At 50.0% G+C, this 19,865-nt stretch overlaps 1 protein-coding gene and 1 pseudogene across 1 annotated transcript, besides 4 other annotated features; both read right to left on the bottom strand.

Moving 5' to 3' along the window:
• Positions 2,438-4,411, bottom strand: TMEM141 (transmembrane protein 141). The gene is made up of 5 exons (NM_032928.4): positions 4,331-4,411; positions 3,978-4,044; positions 3,725-3,808; positions 3,397-3,504; positions 2,438-2,936 (listed from the first exon to the last, which is right to left on the bottom strand). Exons 1-5 carry the CDS (start codon positions 4,382-4,384, stop codon positions 2,923-2,925), a joined length of 327 nt encoding a protein of 108 aa, NP_116317.1. The 5' UTR covers positions 4,385-4,411; the 3' UTR covers positions 2,438-2,922.
• Positions 3,985-5,024: a silencer, noted in NCBI's record as "silent region_20540". NCBI's record gives its function as "represses an Ori minimal core promoter by ATAC-STARR-seq in GM12878 lymphoblastoid cells {active_cell/tissue: GM12878}" and the evidence as "EXISTENCE:reporter gene assay evidence [ECO:0000049][PMID:35858748]".
• Positions 7,686-7,845: an enhancer, noted in NCBI's record as "active region_29327". NCBI's record gives its function as "activates an Ori minimal core promoter by ATAC-STARR-seq in GM12878 lymphoblastoid cells {active_cell/tissue: GM12878}" and the evidence as "EXISTENCE:reporter gene assay evidence [ECO:0000049][PMID:35858748]".
• Positions 7,686-8,052: a biological region, named in NCBI's record as "CRISPRi-validated cis-regulatory element chr9.4332". NCBI's record gives its function as "regulatory_interactions: TMEM141".
• Positions 7,753-8,052: a transcriptional cis regulatory region, noted in NCBI's record as "candidate enhancer chr9.4332 targeted for multiplex CRISPR interference". NCBI's record gives its function as "positively regulates TMEM141 gene expression in K562 cells {active_cell/tissue: K562}" and the evidence as "EXISTENCE:mutant phenotype evidence [ECO:0000015][PMID:30612741]".
• ATP6V1G1P3 (ATPase H+ transporting V1 subunit G1 pseudogene 3) lies at positions 15,447-15,814 on the bottom strand (annotated as a pseudogene).

The raw sequence follows: 19,865 nt of genomic DNA, 5'->3' as shown, positions 1-19,865 counted from the left end.
CTCTGCACCCCCTCCACCCTTCCCTTAGAGGGGAGTACCTGGAGCACCAGGCAGCCTGGAACTCTGTGGGGTATGCACGAGATGGGGTACACACGAGATGGGGTACTTTTTCCCAGCCTTGCCTTAGTAGGCTCAGGCGGCCATAACAAGGTGCCACTGGCCAGGTGTGGAGGCTCACGCCTGTAATCCCAGCACTTTGGGAGGCTGAGGTGGGTGGGTCACCTGAGGTCAGGAGTTCAAGACCAGTCTGGTCAACATGGTGAAACCCCGTTTCTACTAAAAATACAAAAATTAGCCCAGTGTGGTGGTGGGCGCCTGTCCCAGCTACTTGGGAAGCCGAGGCAGGAGAATTGCTTGAATCCAGGAGGTGGAGGTTGCAGTGAGCTGAGATCGCGTCACTGCACTCCAGCCTGCGTGACAGAGTAAGACTCCATCTCAAAAAAACAAAAAACAAAAAAACAAAAAAACAAGGCGCCACCGACTGGGGGATGTGAACAGCAGCCTGGAGGCTGGGGGCTGAGATCACGGGTCAGCAGGGCTGGTGTCTCCTGAGGCCCCTCTCCTTGGCTTGCAGATGCTGTCTTCTCTGTGTCCTCACGTGGCCGTCCCTCTGTGTGTCTGTGTCCTAATTTCCTCTTCTTATGAGGACACCCCAATGACCTCATTTTACCTTAATGACCTCTGGAAAGCCCCTGTCTTCAAATACAGAGACATGCAGAGGTCCTGGGGGACAGAAATTTGGGGGGACCCAAGCCAGCCCGACAATGGCCTTTGCCCATGTGCTGTCACATAGATCCCTTCCCTTTCTGGTCACTGTTTTTGGAAAGCCAGTCCAGGCAAACTCCAGGTTCTCCCTTCTCTCCCTCCCACCCAGGCCTCACCCTCAGGGTGCTGGGATGTCCTGCTAAGGGTGTGGTCTGCTTACCTCCCCCTCGTTCTTGGGGGCCAGGCTTGGAATCTAGCTGAGGCAGAGCCTACCTGCTGTCCTTCTTCCTCAGATATAAAACACCTGAATTTTAGTGGGCGCATGGCTGCCCAGAGCAACTCTGCCTTCCTGAGCATCCTGGCACTGGATGTGCCTGATGACTTCGTTCAGGCCAACAGAGTGAGAGCAGCAGTGGCAGGCAAGCTGCCCTCTCTCCTGCCTCTTAAATGAGATAAAGACACAATGGCCGAAGCTGGTGCAGCCGCCTGGGGCCATGAGGCAGATTTGGGAACAGAGACCATTACAGCAGGGAGCAGACTGAAAGGAGCCTGGTCCCCGATTCCCTGTCAACCCTGGACCACTCACTTGGACTTTTACATGAAAGAAAAATAAAGCTCAGCCCGGCGCGGTGCCCAGCGGCTCACGCCTATAATCCCAGCACTTTGGGAGGCCGAGGTGGGCAGATCACATGAGGTCAGGAGTTTGAGACCAGCCTGGCCAACATAGTGAAACCCCGTCTCTACTAAAAATACAGAATTAGCTGGGCATGGTGGCGCATACCTGTAATCCCAGCTACTCGGGAGGCTGAGGCAGGAGAATCGCTTGAACCCGGGCAGCAGAGGTTGTGGCGAGCTGAGACTGCACCACTGCACTCCAGCCTGGGCAACAAGAGTGAAACTCCATCTCAAAATAAATAAATAAATAAATATTAGCCAGGCGTGGTGGTGGGTGCCTATAATCCCAGCTACTTGGGAGGCTGAGGCAGGAGAATGGCTTGAACTGGTGAGGTGGAAGTTGCAGTGAGCCGACATCACGCCATTGCCCTCCAGCCTGGGTGACAGAGCGAGACTCTGTCTCCAAACAACGACGACAACACCACAAAAAACAGAAAAATAAAGCTCCATCTTGCTGAAGCCACTGTCAACTTGAGCTTCCTGTCACTCTGAAGGCCCAGTAGGTACTCAATAAACTTTCTTTCCAGTGCCTGGCAAGGTGAGGCGTGGCAGCTGAGCTGGGTCGGGGGCAGCAGGGCCCATGCTGTGGGTCTTCGGTGCTGCGGGGAAGCCAGCTGTAACCATGATGGACTTGTGGAGGTTCCGTCTGGTCTCCACCTCTTCCTCCTCTTGGGGCTCGGGGCTGTGTGTAGGCTTGCCCACTCAGAAGCTTTCCCTCCACACAGACACGGCTACAACGGGCTAGCTCTGCCTCTGGGGAGTGACTTTGGCTAATAGATGAGTGGGGAATGATAGGCAGGTGGGCGTGGCCCACAAGTCCCTCCTCTCCCAGCAGCCAGGCTCTGGCCAGCCTGGCCCCTTTTGCTCTGCCCCTACATGCCAAGTGCTACAGAGGCAGACCCCCATACAGAGAGGCTGTGGTGGTGTCACGTGGCCTACGGGGCTGATGCGAACGTCTAATTCTGGGGTTCAGCGCTGGGAACTTCCCTGTACATCCTCAGTATGTAACTTGCATGTGATCCTCATATATCAACTGTAGGGTAATAAAGGTTTCATGTGACCTGTCATCATCTTACCCTTCTGATTTGTTTTTCACCTGGTCAGGTGGAAACTTGGGTGGAGAGAAGGATAAGCCATTTATTAACCCCACGCCCCTAGCACCAGCTGTCACCTTGGACTTGTTGGAGATGCAGGGGCTAGAAAGGAAATGACAGAGTGTACAGGCCCCTTCGACCCCGTGTCCCATAGGTGGTGGCCCCCAGACACACCCTCTCTGCTGGCAGTGCAGAACATGCATCCCAATACCCTAGAGGAGAAACACCACCCCAGGGAGAGCCCTTTCTGCTCCAACCTCCTGGGCAGGTCCCAGGTTGGGGCAGCAGCCATCTGCAGGTGTTTGTCAGGCCTGGCCACACATGCGGACAGAGGATACGACTGGGGTACCCTAGGGTGTGGGGAGGGTCGGCCTGGGGTCAGGGGGCATGAAGGCTGTGTTCCAGACTCCTCCTGCCCCCAATCCTCTGTGCCCCTGCTGGAGCTCTCCTAGCTTCTCTGATCTGTAAAAGGCAAAGAGAGACAAGCTCGAACCACATCCATCGTGGCTGGGCATCCCTGTGCCCATTTTATCATGGCAGAAACTGGGTTCCGTAACAAGGACAACGGGCAGTGGAGGCCAGGCCTGGGTCCAATGCGGGGCTTCTCAGTCCAGCCTCACTCCTCTCGGGTGCCCACGTGGCTGCTGTGGCCTTGCCACACCCTTCACTCTGCACCCTTCCTCTCAATCTCAGGGGCACCCCAGCCCCTCTTGGTTCTTTCTCCTCAAAGGGAGCTCTCCAAGATCTGTCTACTGCGCCCACCCCCAGCTCCAACCCATCTGGCAGTCACATGCTGAGGAGGCCGGGCCAGAGGGAGGGACCTTGTCTAGCCTATCGCATGGTGCACCCAGGCTTGGCTGCCCAAAACTCTGGGTGCTGGAGAGGTGGCATTCACTTCTCGCTAACCCCCAGGCTCTCTCACCTGTGCTCCTGTCTTTGGGGAGCTGCCCGGTCTCCAGGAAGAGCCAGAGGTTGTTGCATTTCTCCGACTCCACTCTCGTCACCCCGTAGCTGACCACAGAGCCTGCAACTGTGGAGCAGGAAATGGAAGAGGGCTGGGGCCTCTGTGCTTCCCAGGCTAAGAGAACCGGGCACAGGCTACTTCCTGACAGACGTGGTGGGTGGGCTCAGGTGGGGCTCCCGCCGAGACCTGGGGCTCCATGTCAGAGTCAGGGACGCAGAACCACAGCCCCAACCCTAGCAGAAACCCACCCCTCAAAGAGCCCAGGCAGGGGCCCTGGAGTACCCACCCACGGCCACTAGGAGGCTCCACTGCAAAGGGTATGGAAACTTCCTCTGAATGAACATCTGCAAGCCAAAGGCCATGCCGGTGCCTGCAAAGAGCCGAGGTCCCCATCAACCTGTACCCGGGGATAGCCAGGGCCCACCTTGCCAGGCCCCCAGCACCTGCGGGCAGGTGACTTGGCGCCCCCTGCTGGGGAGTCAGGGCAGGGCGGGAGGGTGCGTTCTCTCCCAGCCGCAGGACACCTGGACGCAGCCTACCTGTGACGAAGGTGAAAACGCCCTTCATGAAGGCGTGTGACTGGCATGCGGCATACTCCCCGAGTCCCTGGGGTGGCAGAGGCGGGTGAAGGCTCGATCCCCTGCCCTCTTCCTTCACCGCCTCTCCTGTCCCTCCTCTGGGCACACCCTGGCTGTGGAGGAGTGAGACCCTGGGCGCTTGGACACGTCCCACCTCCCCTATGCCCACCCGGACGCCCTGAGCCCCTTAGCAAGAGAGTGCCCCCAGCCTCCGCCACTCTTCCCTGACGAGGGCACCCCCACGCCCCGGCCCCCCGCCTCGCTCAGGTCAGCTTCTGGGGTTTGAGGCCCGCGTCCCAGACCGGCCTTCTCACCGGGTGCTTGGCAGCCACGGCGTCGTCCACCCGGGACAGACCCAAGTTCACCATGGTTGGCAGGGCTCGGGGAGCGGGCCTGCGCAGGCGCAGGCGGAAGGGCGGGACGGGAACCTGGGGGTGTGGCCCAGAGGACAGGCCTGCGCAGTTACGGACGGAGGGGCAGGGCCCGGATCTGGGGGCGAGGCCTAGGGACCGGCCCGCGCTGGAACAGGCGGAGGGGGCGGGGCCTAGGAGACGGCGCCTGAGGGCGGGTCCGCGCGGCAGCAGGCGGAGGGGGCGGGACCTGGGAGACGTGATCTGGGGGCGGGGCCTGAGAGACGGGACTTTGGAGACGCGACCTGGGGGCGGGGCCTGAGAGACAGGACCGGGGAGCGGGCCTGCGCAGGCGGAGGTGTCGGGTTCTAAGAGGCGGGTCCTGCCGGGTGCAGGCGGAGGGGCCAGGGCCTTGGATTGGGGGCGGAGCATGGATCGAGCCTGCTAGAGCGCAGGGGAGAGGGGTGGGGCCTGGGGCCTGGCCACGCCTCTAGGAGCTTGGGCCCTGTGACCTCCGGCGACGACTGGGCGGGGCGAAGGCGGGCACCGGGCGGGGCGTGGCTGAGAGCGTGCGCTCCTCCCCCCGGCCGGGCCTCATTCCCACACTTGCAGAGGCCTGATGATTGTCAGTGTTATTTTGCTTGAGGACTACAATCAGGGATTGAATTTCTCATAAGCCACCACGGAGTGGGGATGTATAAAATCACTGTTTAGCAAAGTGGTTCTGTAACCAGCAGCTTAGTAGCTGAGCCTCAAACTCCTTTTGTTTTGCATGACAAAGAGTCTTTACTTTCAAATAATTATCGATACACCAAGTAATAACATGTACAAGTTCTTGAATTCTATCATCTAGTAATTTTGATTAAGAGAAACTAAAATCAGCCCAAACAATTCCACTAGTATTCACTGGTGTAACCATTAGCAAGAACGGAGGACTTCAAGTCAGGCTGCTGCTTCACACAGGTTACAAATAACTATTTACTACTTTTTCATCGATAAAGTCCCTGATCTTCAAGAAAGTGCTAGGGAAAAAAATTAACCCCTTCCTTTCTTCAAAGAATTATTATGTGGTTTTTTTTTTTAAACTAGATCAAAGAAAGAAAAAGTCAACACTGATATACGTGTTGCTTGAGCCAAAAGGCATGGGAAAAAAGACAACATATAACCATTAAATTCCTAAGAAATATGAGGTAAAAAGATGAAATCTTGGCCAGGTGCGGTGGCTTACGCCTGTAATCCCAGCACCTTGGGAGGCCGAGGCAGGTGGATCACAAGGTCAGGAGTTAAATACTAGCCTGGCCAAGATGGTGAAACCCCGTCTCTACTAAAAATACAAAAATTAGCCGGGCGTGGTGGCAGGTGCCTATAATCCCAGGTACTGGGGAGGCTGAGGCAGGAGAATCACTTGAACCTGGGAGGTGGAGGTTGCAGGGAGCCAAGATCGTGCCACTGCACTCCAGCCTGGGCGACAGAGTGAGACTCTGTTTCAAAAAAAAAAAAAAGGCTGAAGTCTTTAGATAATTTATAAGTCTGTACAAAAAAGCTAGATTTGCTACTCTTCAAAATGTGGAAGGACCTACTCTATAATATATGGAAATAATTTAATGCCATTTGTGGGGAAAAGAGAGATCAGACTGTTACTGTGTCTGTGTAGAAAAAGGAAGACATAAGAAACTCCATTTTGATCTGTACTAAGAAAAATTATTCTGCTTTGAAATGCTGTTAATCTGTAACCTTAGCCCCAACCCTGTGCTCACAGGAACATGTGCTGTATTGACTCAAGGTTTAGGGGATTTAGGGCCGTGCAGGATGTGCCTTGTTAACAATGTGTTTGCAGGCAGTACGCTTGGTAAAAGTCATCACCATTCTCCATTCTCCATTAACCAGGGACACAGTGCACTGCGGAAAGCCGCAGGGACCTCTGCCCAAGAAAGCCTGCGTATTGTCCAGGTTTCCCCCCACTGAGACAGCCTGAGATATGGCCTCGTGGGAAGGGAAAGGCCTTACCGTCCCCCAGGCTGACAACCATAAAGGGTCTGTGCTGAGGAGGATTAGTGAAAGAGGGAGGCCTCTTTGCAGTTGAGATAAGAGGAAGGCATCTGTCTCCTGCTCGTCCCTGGGAATGGAATGTCTTGGTGTAAAACCCAACCGTACATTCTATTTACTGAGATAAGAGAAAACCGCCCTGTGGCTGGAGGTGAGACATGCTGGCGGCAATACTGCTCTTTACTGCACTGAGATGTTTGTGTAAAGTCAAACATAAACCTGGCCTACGTGCACATCCAGGCACAGCACCTTTCCTTAAACTTATTTATGACACAGAGTCCTTTGCTCATGTTTTCCTGCTGACCTTCTCCCCACCATTACCCTATAGTCCTGCCACATCCCCGTCGCCGAGATAGTAGAGCTAGTGATCAATAAATACTGAGGAAACTCAGAGACCAGTGCTGGCGTGGGTCCGCACTTGCTGAGCGCCGGTCCCCTGGGCCCACTTTTCTTCCTTTATACTTTGTGTCTTATTTCCTTTTCTCAGTCTCTCGTCTCCACCTTGTGAGAAATACCCACAGGTGTGGAGGGGCAGGCCCCCTTCATCTGGCACCCATCGTGGGTTCCGTTCTGTAAGGTGAAGATACGCTATGGTGTGATAGTTTAGGACAAAACGAGTACGTCCGTGGTCAGCTTCGCGGTAAGCTTGTGCACTCGGAGGAACCCAGGGTAACAATGGGACAAACTGAAAGTAAATATGCCTCTTATCTCAGCTTCATTAAAATTTTTTTAAGAAGAGGGGGAGTTAGAGCCTCTACAGAAAATCTAATTACACTATTTCAAACAATAGAACAATTCTGCCCATGGTTTCCAAAACAAGGAACTTTAGATCTAAAAGATTGGGAAAAAATTGGCAAAGAATTAAAGCAAGCAAATAGGGAAGGTAAAATCATCCCACTTACAGTATGGAATGATTGGGCCATTATTAAAGCAGCTTTAGAATCATTTCAAACAGGAGAAGATAGCGTTTCAGTTTCTGATGCCCCTGAAAGCTGTGTAATAGATTGTGAAGAAGAGGCAGGGACAGAATTCGAGAAAGGAACGGAAAGTTCACATTGTAAATATGTAGCAGAGTCTGTAATGCCTCGGTCAGCGCAAAATGTTGACTACAATCAATTACAGGAGGTAATATATTCTGGACCACTAAAATTGGGGGGAAAAGGTCCAGAATTATTGGGGCCATCAGAGTCTAAACCACGATGGCCATCAACTCCTCCTCCCGCGGTTCAGATGCCTGTAACATTACAACCTCAAATGCAGGTTAGACAAGTACAAACCCCAAGAGAATATCAAATAGAAAAGGAAAGAGTCTCTATCCCAGCAATGCCAATCCAGATGCAGTATCCACAATATCAGCTGGTAGAAAATAAGACCCAACTGCCGGTAGCCTATCAATACTGGCCGCCAGCCAAACTTCAGTATCGGCCGCCCCCAGAGTATCAGTATGGATGGCCAGGATGTTTCCAGCACCGCAGGGCAGGGCGCTATAGCCGCAGCCGCCCACTATGAGACGTAATCCTACAGCACCACCTAGTGGACAGGGTCGTGCATTACATAAAATTATTGAAAAGACAAAACAAGGGGATACTGACGCGTGGCAGACCCCGGTAATATTAGAACCCATACCACCTGGAAGAGGGGCCCAAGAGGGAGCGCCTCCCCGAGCTGATGCCAGAAATGGGTCCTTTTCTATGAAAATGCTAAAAGACATGAAAGAGGGAGTAAAACAGTATGGACCCAACTCCCCTTATATAAGAACATTATTAGATTCCACTGCTCATGGACATAGACTCATTCCTTATGATTGGGAGATTTTGGCCAAATCATCACTCTCACCTCAATTTTTACAATTTAAGACCTGGTGGATTGATGGGACACAAGAACAGGTCCGAAAAAATAGGGCTGCCAATCCTCCAGTTAACACAGATGCAGATCAAGTATTAGGAACAGGTCAAAATTGGAGCACTACTAATCAACAAGCAATAATACAATATGTGGCCATTGAGCAAGTTAGAGCTATCTGCCTTAGAGCCTGGGAAAAAAATCCAAGACCCGGGAACCACCTGCCCCTCATTCAATACAATAAGACAAGGCTCTAAAGAGCCCTACCCTGATTTTGTGGCAAGGCTCCAAGATGCTGCTCAAAAGTCAATGGCCAATGAGAATGCCCGTAAGGTCATAGTGGAGTTGATGGCATACGAAAACGACAATCCTGAGTGTCAATCAGCCATTAAGCCATTAAAAGGGAATGTCCCAGCAGGGTCAGATGTAGTCTCAGAGTATGTAAAAGCCTATGATGGAATTGGAGGGGCTATGCATAAAGCTATGCTAATGGCTCCAGCAAAAACTGGGGTTGCTTTAGGAGGACAAGTTAGAACATTTGAGGGAAAATGTTATAATTGTGGTCAAATTGGTCATTTAGAAAAGAATTGCCCAGTCTTAAATAAACAGAATATAACAAATCAAACTACTACAGCCAAAAATAAAGAGCCACCTGGCCTGTGTCCAAGATGTGGAAAAGGAAAACATTGGGCTAATCAATGTCGTTCTAAATTTGATAAAAATGGGCAACCATTGTCGGAAAACTGGAAGAGGGGCCAGCCTCAGGCCTCGCAACAAACTGGGGCGTTCCCGATTCAGCCTTTTGTTCCTCAGGGTTTTCAGGGACAACAACCTCCACTGTCACAAGTGCCTCAGGGAACGGGCCAGTTACCACAATACAACAATTGTCCCCCGCCACAAGCGGCAGTGCAGCAGTAGATTTATGTGTTATACCAGCAGTCTCTCTGCTTCCAGGGGAGCCCCCACAAAAAATCCCCTCAGGGGTATACGGCCCACTGCCCGAGGGGACTGTAGGACTCATCTTAGGAAGATCAAGTTTAAATCTAAAGGGAGTTCAAATTCATACTGGTGTGGTTGATACAGATTACAAAGGTGAAATTCAATTGGTTATTAGCTCCTCAATTCCTTGGAGTGCCCGTCCAGGAGACGGAATTGCTCAATTATTACTCCTGCCTTATATTAAGGTTGGAAACAGTGAGACAAAAAGAACAGGAGGGTTTGGGAGCACTGATCTGGCAGGAAAGGCTGCATATTGGGCAAGTCAGGTCTCAGAAAGCAGACCTGTGTGTAAGGCCATTATTCAGGGAAAACAGTTTGAAGGGTTAGTAGACCCTGGGGTGTGGGCGGAAAGCCACCCAGGCGCCGAGACACGAGACTGAAGGCACAAGCTGTTCCAGTATAATCAAGAAAATAGTTAGGAAAAGAGAAAGTTATATTCGAAATAGGATATAGAGATGATTATATATGGATATTATCAATCATTAGTTTTCTGTATTAACCTTTGTATTATTATTATAACCAAAGAAAAACTAGGCCATACAGAGTTAGGAGCTGAAGGGACATTGTGAGAAGTGACCAGAAGACAAGAGTGTGAGCTCTCTGTCACGCCCAGATAAGGGCTGCTTGAGGGCTCCTTGGTCTAGTGGTAGCACCAGCACCTGGGAAGGCACCCGTTACTCAGCGGACCTTGGTCTAGCGGTAGCGCCAGTGCCTGGGAAGGCACCCGTTACTCAGCAGACCTTGGCCTGGCGGTAGCGCCAGCACCTGGGAAGGCACCCATTACTCAGCAGACCTTGGCCTGGCGGTAGCGCCAGTGCCTGGGAAGGCACCCGTTACTCAGCGGACCTTGGCCTGGCGGTAGCGCCAGCGCCTGGAAGGCACCCGTTACTTAGCAGACCAGGAAAGGGAGTCTCCCTTTCCCTGGGAGAGTTAGCGAGCACTCTGCTCCACCAGTTCTTGTGGGGGACCTGACATTCCCCAGGCCTGCCCGCAGTCATCGGAGGCTTCAACGTCTCCCTGTGGTGCTTCAGTGGTCATGCTCCTTGTCCACTTTCATATTCTGCCTGTACACCTGCTGCTTCTCTTAAGTTCTTAGAAGATAGCAGTAGCAGAATTAGCGAAAGTATTAGAGTCTTTGATCTCTCTGATAAGTGCATAGAAGATATGCTAACGTCTGCTGTCCTCCCTCTCTGCTTCAGCTACCACAAAGGGAAAGTCCCCTTGTCATGTGGACACTTGACTTGCTTGTCCTTATCAATCACTTGAGGTGACTCACACTCCTTACCCTGCCCCCTTGCCTTGTATACAATAAATAGCAGTGCATCCAGGCCTTCGGGGCCACTACCGGACTCCGCGCATTGGTGGTAGTGGCCCCAGGGCCCAGCTGTCTTTCCTACTATCCCTTAGTCTCATGTCTTTCTTTCTACAATCTCTCATCTCTGCACATGAAGAGGAAACCCACAAGGTCCTGTAGGGCTGGACCCTACACTGGGGCGGATGTCTCTATCATTGTTTTGCATCAGTGGCCAAGAAATTGGCCAAAAGATGGCTGCAAGTTTGGTGGGCGTAGGCACTGCCTCAGAAGTGTATCAAAGTACTATGATTTTACATTGTTTAGGGCCAGATAATCAAAAAAGTACTGCTCAGCCAATGATTACTCCAATTCCTGTTAATCTGTGGGGTTGAGATTTATTACAACAATGGAGTATGGAAATCAGTATGCCCGCTCCATTATCCAGCCCCATGAGTCAAAAAATCATGACTGAAATGGGACATGTACCAGAAAACGGACTAGGAAAGAGTGAAAATGGTATTGAAGTCCCAATTGAGGCTGAGGGAAATCAAGGAAAAAAAGGGAATAGGTTATCCTTTTTAGGGACGGCCACTGTACAGCCTCCAAAACCCATTCCATTAACTTGGAAAGCAGAAAAACCTGTATGGGTAGATCAATGGCTGCTACCAAAACAAAAACTGGAGGCTTTACATTTATTAGCAAAGGAACAATTAGAAAAGGGACATATTGAGCCTTCATTCTCGCCTTGGAATTCTCCTGTGTTTGTAATTCAGAAAAAATCCGGCAGATGGCGAATGCTAAATGATTTAAGAGCCATTAACGCCATAATTCAACCCATGGGGGCCTCTCCAACCCGCCCTCTCTGGCCCTCATGGCCCTCTCCAGCCATGATCCTCAAAGATTGGCCTTTAATTATAATTGATCTGAAGGATTGCTTTTTTTTACCATTCCTCTGGTGAAGCAGGATTTTGAAAAATTTGCTTATACTATACCAGCCATAAATAATAAGGAACCAGCCACCAGGTTTCAGTGGAAAGTGTTACCTCAGGAAATGTTAAACAGCCCAGCTATTTGTCTGACTTTTGTAGGTCAAGCTCTTCAACTAGTTAGAGACAAGTTTCCAGACTGTTATATTGTTCATTATGTAGATGATATTCTATGTGCTTCAGAAATGAGAGATAAATTAACTGACTGTTACACATTTCTACAAGCAGAGGTTGCCAACGCAGGACTGATGATAGCATCTGATAAAATTCAAACAACAACTCCTTTTCATTATTTAGGGATACAGGTAGAAAATAGAAAAATTAAACCACAAAAAATAGAAATAAGAAAAGATACATTAAAAATATTAAATGAGGCCGGGCACGGTGGCTCACACCTGTAATCCCAGCACTTTGGGAGGCCAAGGTGGGTGGATCACGAGGTCAGGAGATCGAGACCATCCTGGCTAACACGGTGCAACACCAGCTCTACTAAAAATACAAAAAATTAGCCGGGCGCAGTGGCGGGTGCCTGTAGTCCCAGCTACTTGGGAGGCTGAGGCAGGAGAATGGCATGAACCCGGGAGGCGGAGCTTGCAGTGAGCCGAGATCGCACCACTGCACTCCAAATTATTTGAAGAAAATTCGATCAGCACAAGTAAATAGACTAGATCCCTTGGCTCCACTCCAACTTTTGATTTTTGCTACTGCACATTCTCCAACAGGCATCATTGTTCAAAATACAGATCTTGTGGAGTGGTCATTCCTTCCTCACAGTACAGTTAAGATTTTTACATTGTACTTGGATCAAATGGCTACATTAATTGGTCAGGCAAGATTACGAATAATCTAATTGTGTGGAAGTGACCCAGACAAATCATTGTTCCTTTAAACGAGGAACAGTTTAGACAAGCCTTTATCAATTCTAGTGCATGGCAGACTGGTCTTGCTGATTTTGTGGGAATTATTGATAATCATTACCCAAAAACAAACATCTTCCAGTTTTTAAAACTGACTACTTGGATTTTACCTAAAATTACCAGACATAAACCTTTAGAAAATGATCTGACTGTGTTTATTGATGGTTCCAGCAATGGAAAAGCAGCTTACACTGGGCCAAAAGAAGGAGGCCTTGAAACTCAATATCATTCGGCTCAAAGAGCAGAGTTGGTTGCCGTCATTACAGTGTTACAAGATTTTAATCAGCCTATTAATATTGTATCAGATTCTGCATCTGTAGTACAGGCCACAAGGGATATTGAGACAGCCCTAATCAAACATAGCATGGATGATCAGTTAAACCAGCCGTTCAATTTATTACAACAAACTGTGAGAAGAAGAAATCTCCCATTTTATATTACTCATATTTGAGAACACACTAATTTACCAGGGCCTTTAACTAAAGCAAATGAGCAAGCTGACTTACTGGTATCATCTGCATTCACAAAAGCACAAGAACTTCATGCTTTGAGTCATGTAAATGCAACAGGTTTAAAAAATAAATTTAATATCACATGGAAACAGGCAAAAAGTATTGCACAACACTGCACCTGGTGTCAAGCCCTACACCTGCCCACTCAGGAGGCAGGAGTTAATCCCAGAGGTCTGCGTCCTAATGCGTTATGGCAAATGGATGTCACGCATGTTCCTTCATTTGGAAGATTGTCATATGTTCATGTAACAGTTGATACTTATTCACATTTCATGTGGGCAACCTGACAGACAGGAGAAAGTACTTCCCATGTTAAAAGACATTTATTTTTCTTTTTTTGCTGTCATAGGAGTTCCAGAAAAAATTAAAACTGACAATGGACCAGGATACTATAGTAAAGCTTTCCAAAAATTCTTGAATCAGTGGAAAATTGCACGTACAACAGGAATTCCCTATAATTCCCAATGACAGGCCATAGTTGAAAGAACTAATAGAACACCGAAAACTCAATTGGTTAAACAAAGAAAAGAGGGAGACAGTACGGAGTATATCACTCTTCAGATGCAACTTAACCTAGCACTCTATACTTTAAATTTTTTAAACCTTTATAGAAATCAGACTACTACCTCTGCAGAACAACATCTTACTGGTAAAAAGAACAGCCCACATGAAGGAAAACTAATTTGGTGGAAAGACAACAAAAATAAGACATGGGAAATAGGGAAGGTGGTAACGTGAGGGAGAGGTTTTGCTTGTGTTTCACCAGGAGAAAATCAGCTTCCTGTTTGGATACCCACTAGACATTTAAAGTTCTACAATGAACCCATCGGAGATGCAAAGAAAAACGCCTCCGTGGAGACAGAGACACCGCAATTGAGCACCATTGACTCGCCAGATGAACAGAATGGTGATATTAAAAGAACAAATTTTTGAAGCATCAAAAGCCCATTTAAATTTGGTACCAGGAACTGAGGCAATTGCGGGAGTTGCTGATGGCCTCACAAGTCTCTCTCTCTCTCTTTTTTTTAGACGGAGTCTCACTTTGTCGCCCAGGCTGGAGTGCAGTGGCACTATCTCGGCTCACTGCAAGCTCCACCTCCCAGGTTCATGCCATTCTCCTGCCTCAGCCTCCTGAGTAGCTGGGACTACAGGCGCCTGCCACCACGCCCAGCCAATTTTTTTGTATTTTTTTAGTAGAGACAGGGTTTCACTCTGTTAGCCAGGATGGTCTCAATCTCCTGACCTCGTGATCCACCCACCTTGGCCTCCCAAAGTGCTGGGATTACAGGCGTGAGCCACCGTGCCCAGCCGGCCTCACAAGTCTTAACCCTGTCACTTGGGTTAAAACCCTCGGAAGTTCCGCTATCGTAAATTTCGTGTTAATGCTTCTGTCTGTTGTCAGTCTGCAGCTGTACCCAACAGCTCCGAAGAGACAGCGACCATCGAGAATGGGCCATGATGATGATGGTGGTTTTGTCAAAAAGAAAAGGGGGAAATGTGGGGGAAAGAGAGGTCAGACTGTTACTGTGTCTATGTAGAAAAAGGAAGACATAAGAAACTCCATTTTGATCTGTATTAAGAAAAATTCTTCTGCTTTGACATGCTGTTAATCTGTAACCTTAGCCCCAACCCTGTACTCACAGAAACATGTGCTGTGTTAACTCAAGGTTTGAGGGATTTAGGGCTATACAGCATGTGCTTTGTTAACAATGTGTTTGCAGGCAGTATGCTTGGTAAAAGTCATCGCCATTCTCCATTCTCCATTAACCAGGGACACAGTGCACTGCGGAAAGCCGCAGGGACCTCTGCCCAAGAAAGCCTGCGTATTGTCCAGGTCTCCCCCCACTGAGACAGCCTGAGATATGGCCTCATGGGAAGGGAAAGACCTGATCGTCCCCCAGGCTGACACCCATAAAGGGTCTGTACTGAGGAGGATTAGTGAAAGAGGAAGGCCTCTTTGCAGTTGAGATAAGAGGAAGGCATCTGTCTCCTGCTCATCCCTGGGAATGGAATGTCTTGGTGTAAAGCCCAATCATACATTCTGTTTACTGAGATAGGAGAAAACTGCCCCATGGCTGGAGGTGAGACATGCTGGCGGCAATACTGCTCTTTACTGCACTGAGAGGTTTGTGTAAAGTCAGACATAAACCTGGCCTACGTGCACATCCAGGCACAGCACCTTTCCCTAAACTTATTTATGACACAGAGTCCTTTGCTCATGTTTTCCTGCTGACCCTCTGCCCACCATTACCCTATAGTCCTGCCATGTCCCCCTCACCGAGATAGTAGAGCTAGTGATCAATAAATACTGAGGAACTCAGAGACCAGCGTCGGTGCAGTTCCTCACTTGCTGAGTGCCGGTCCCCTGGGCCCACTTTTCTTCCCTTATACTTTGTCTTTGTGTCTTATTTGTTTTCTCAGTCTCTCATCTCCACCTGGTGAGAAATACCCGCAGGTGTGGAGGGGCAGGTCCCCTTCATAATTTCATAAGACTATAACTAGAGCTATGCTAAAGCTTCATATTTCATGAGGGCATCTAAAATGCCTATCCAAAGAACAGGTGCTTCTCTTCTTCTATCCATTTATGCGGTAGTTTTCATGCATTTCTGGCTGAATGTCACAGACAAAAGCCAAGAGGTTATCCCAGACTTCATCCCTGTTGTGAGGAAAGTAGGTCTGGAGGATGGTCATCTTCTCCTGGGTCTCCTTCTCCACTTTGGTGCTGCCAGTGCCATGGATTCCAGTGCCGCAGCTTCCTTGGCTTTCAACTCTTTCTCCCTCTGCAGGTGGTACTGTTCAATTTCAGCCTGAGCTGCTTCTTTGGCCTGTGTCAGCCTCCAGTTCTTTCTTTTTTTTTTGAGACGGAGTCTCGCTCTGTGGCCCAGGCTGGAGTGTAGTGGCAGCGATCTTGGCTCACTGCAACCTCTACCTCCCAGGTTCAAACAATTCTCTGCCTCAGCCTCCTGAGTAGCTGGGACTACAGGTGCATGCCAGCATGTTGCAGGAAGTCAGGGACCCCGAATGGAGGGACCAGCTGGAGCCGCAGCAGAAGAACACAAATTGTGAAGATTTCATGGACATTTGTCAGTTCCCAAATAATACTTTTACAATTTCTTATGCCTGTCTTTACTTTAGTCACTTACTCCTGTTATCTTTGTAAACTGAGGATGTAAGTCACCTCAGGACCACTGTGATAATTGTGTTAACTGTACAAATTGATTGTAAAACATGTATGTTTGAACAATATGAAATCAGTGCACCTTGAAAAAGAACAGAATAACAGCAATGTTTAGGGAACAAGGGAAGACAACCATAAGGTCTGACTGCCTGCAGGTTCGGGCAAAAAAAGCCATATTTTTCTTCTTGCAGAGAGCCTATAAATGGACATGCAAGTAGGAGAGACGGGGAGGAGATGGTGTTGTTGTTCTAGTTTGAGGGTCGCAGAGCTGGAGACCTGAGGAGGAGCCGGTGTTGATCTAGTTTGAGCATTGGGGAGCTGGAGACCCTGGAGGAGCTGGTGTTGATCCAGTTTGAGGGTCGGGGAGCTGGAGACCTGAGGAGGAGCCGGTGTTGATCTAGTTTGAGGGTTGGGGAGCTGGAGACCCTGGAGGAGCTGGTGTTGATCTAGTTTGAGCATTGGGGAGCTGGAGACCCTGGAGGAGCCAGTGTTGATCTAGTTTGAGCGTTGGGGAGCTGGAGACCCTGGAGGAGCTGGTGTTGATCTAGTTTGAGGGTCACGGAGCTGGAGGCCTGGGGAGGAGCCAGTGTTGATCCAGTTTGAGGGTCGGGGAGCTGGAGACCCTGGAGGAGCTGGTGTTGATCCAGTTGGAGGGTCACGGAGCTGGAGACTGAGGAGGAGCCAGTGTTGATCCAGTTTGAGGGTCGGGGAGCTGGAGACCCTGGAGGAGCCAGTGTTGATCCAGTTTGAGGGTCGGGGAGCTGGAGACCCTGGAGGAGCCGGTGTTGATCCAGTTTGAGAGTTGGGGAGCTGGAGACCCTGGAGGAGCTGGTGTTGATCCAGTTTGAGGGTCGGGGAGCTGGAGACTCTGGAGGACCTGGTGTTGATCCAGTTTGAGGGTCGGGGAACTGGAGACCCTGGAGGAGCTGGTGTTGATCCAGTTTGAGGGTCGGGGAGCTGGAGACTGAGGAGGAGCCGGTGTTGATCCAGTTTGAGGGTCACGGAGCTGGAGACTGAGGAGGAGCCGGTGTTGATCCAGTTTGAGGGTTGGGGAGCTGGAAACCCTGGAGGAGCCGGTGTTGATCCAGTTTGAGGGTCGGGGAGCTGGAGACCCTGGAGGAGCTGGTGTTGATCCAGTTTGAGGGTTGGGGAGCTGGAGACCTGGGAGGAGCTGGTGGTGTTGTTCTAGTTTGAGGTTCACAGAGCTGGAGACCTGGGGAGGAGATGGTGTTGTTCTAGTTTGAGGATTGCAGAGCTGGAGGCCTGGGGAGGAGCCAGTGTTTTTCTAGTTTGAGGGTCCTGGACCTGGAGATTTGAGGAGGAGCTGGTGTTGTTCTAGTTTGAGGTTAGTGGAGCTGGAGAATCGGGGTGGTGCCAGTGTTTTCTAGTTTGAGGGTTATGGAGCTGGAGACCAGGGGAGAAGCTGGTGGTGGTGTTCTAGTTTAAGGGTCATGGAGCTGGAGGCCTGGGGAGGAGCCAGTGTTGTTCTAGTTTGAGGGTCGTGGAGCTGGAGAACTGAGGAGGAGCTGGTGTTGTTCTAGTTTGAGAGTCATGGAACTGGAGACTTGGAGAGGAGCTGGTGTTATTCTAGTTTGAGGGTTGTGGAGCTGGAGACCAGAGAAGGAGCTGGTGTTGTTCTAATTATAGGGTCATGGAACTGGAGAATCAGGGAGGTGCCAGCGTTGTTCTAGTTTGAGGGCTGTGGAGCTGGAGACCTGGGGAGAAGCTGGTGTTGTTCTAGTTTGAGCGTTGTGGAACTGGAGACCCAGGGAGAAGCTGGTGGTGTTGTTCTAGTTTGAAGGTGGTGGAGCTGGAGACCTGGGGAGAGGCTGGTGCTGCTGTTGTAGTTTGAGGGTCATGGAACTGGAGGCGGGGAGGAGCCGGTGCTGTTGCGCTTCATGTCTGAGGGTTATATAGCTGGAAACCCAGGGAGAAGCCGGTATTACCGCTTTTAAAGTCTGAAGGTCGTGGAGCCTGAGGCCCAGGGAGGAGCCGGTGCTGCTCTTCAAATGGACCCTCCCGAGGTCTCCAGCTCCATGACCGTCAAACTACAACAGCAGCACCAGCTCCACCCTGGGTCTCCAGATCCACGACCCGCAAACTGGAACAGCAGCACTGACTCCTCCCCGGGTCTCCAGCTCCATGACCCTCAGACTCGTTCTAGTTTCTGTTTCAACTTTCTGTTGTCTTTTTGAGACAGGGCTCTGTTGCCTCGGCTGTAGTTTTGAACTTTGATGTGAAGGAATTCTCCTGGGTGGCTGCTCCTACACTGCGTTGGGTCTGAGTATCTGCTTGATGTCTATTTCTGTCCTCCATTCTCTCCCTGAGACCCACCCACATTGACATGGTTCATTTTCATTGCTGCGTGATCTCCCGTCTCCATTCTCTTCCTGAGACCCACCCACACTAACATGAGTCTTTTTCATTGCTGCACGATCTCCCGCCGTCTGAGGGGAGCATGGGAAATGTCTTCATCTTCCTGTGGACGAGAGTTCAGCCAGGCTGGGGCCCTGAGGACTGTGCTGCTGGGAATGCTCTTGGGCCTTTCTTTTGTACACAGGTGCACATTTCTCCTGGTCAGTAGCTTTCAGTTTTTACAATTTCATCCCAGGTAAGAAATGTAATTTTCCTCATAACCCACAAAACACACCCTTTCATATGCAGGGATACCAAAAACAATTTCACATCATTCTTAGCAGTGGCTGAGGGTTCCTATTGCTCTCCATTCTTCCCAATCCTTGCATTGATTGGGCTGTGGGATTTTTGCTGTCTGGTGGGTGACACGTGATCCTCATCCTGTTAGCTGAGACCCTCTTCATGTTTTTATTGCCCTTTCCTTCACATTTCCTTTTCTGTGAAGGGCTGGTTCAACTCTTTTTTTTTTGAGACGGAGTCTGACTCTGTCACCTAGGCTGGAGTGCAGTGGCACAATCTTGGCTCACTGCAAGCTCCACCTCCTGGGTTCAAGCAATTTTTCTTCCTCAGCCTCCTGAGTAGCTGGGACTACAGGCATGCACCACCACGCCCAGCTAATTTTTTGTATTTTTAGTAGAGAGAGGGTTTCACAATATTGGCCAGGCTGGTCTCGAACTCTTAACCTCGTGATCCGCCCGCCTCGGCCTCCCAAAGTGCTGGGATTACAGGTGTGAGTCACTGTGCCCAGCCAGGTCTGGTTCAACTCTTTTGCCCAGTTTCCGTTTAGTTGTCTGAATTTTTGCCTTTTTATTTTTTCATTTTTTTTTTTTGAGATGGAGTCTTGCTCTGTCGCCCAGGCTGGAGTGCCGTGGCACGATCTCGGCTCACTGCAAGCTCTGTCTCCCGGGTTCATGCCATTCTCCTGCCTCAGCCTCCAGAGTAGCTGGGACTACAGGCGCCCGCCACCACGCCTGGCTAATTATTATTATTACCATTATTTTGTATTTTTAGTAGAGACGGGGTTTCACCATGTTAGCCAGGATGGTCTTGATCTCCTGACATCGTGATCCGCCCACCTCGGCCTCCCAAAGTGCTGGGATTACAGGCGTGAGCCACAGCACCTGGCACCTTTTTCTTTTATTATTATTATTTGAGACGGAGTCTCATTCTGTCATCCAGACTGGAGAGCAATGGCACAATCTTCGCTCACTGTGGCCTCTGCCTTCCGGGTTCAAGCGATTCTCCTGCCTCAGCCTCCAGAGTAGCTGGGATTACAGGCGTGAGCCACCATGCCCAGCCAATTTTTGTAT

The sequence above is a fragment of the Homo sapiens genome, chromosome 9 (assembly GCF_000001405.40).
Source record: "Homo sapiens chromosome 9, GRCh38.p14 Primary Assembly".
Classification (NCBI taxonomy): domain Eukaryota; kingdom Metazoa; phylum Chordata; class Mammalia; order Primates; family Hominidae; genus Homo; species Homo sapiens.
This window is presented reverse-complemented; position numbering and strand designations above follow the sequence as displayed.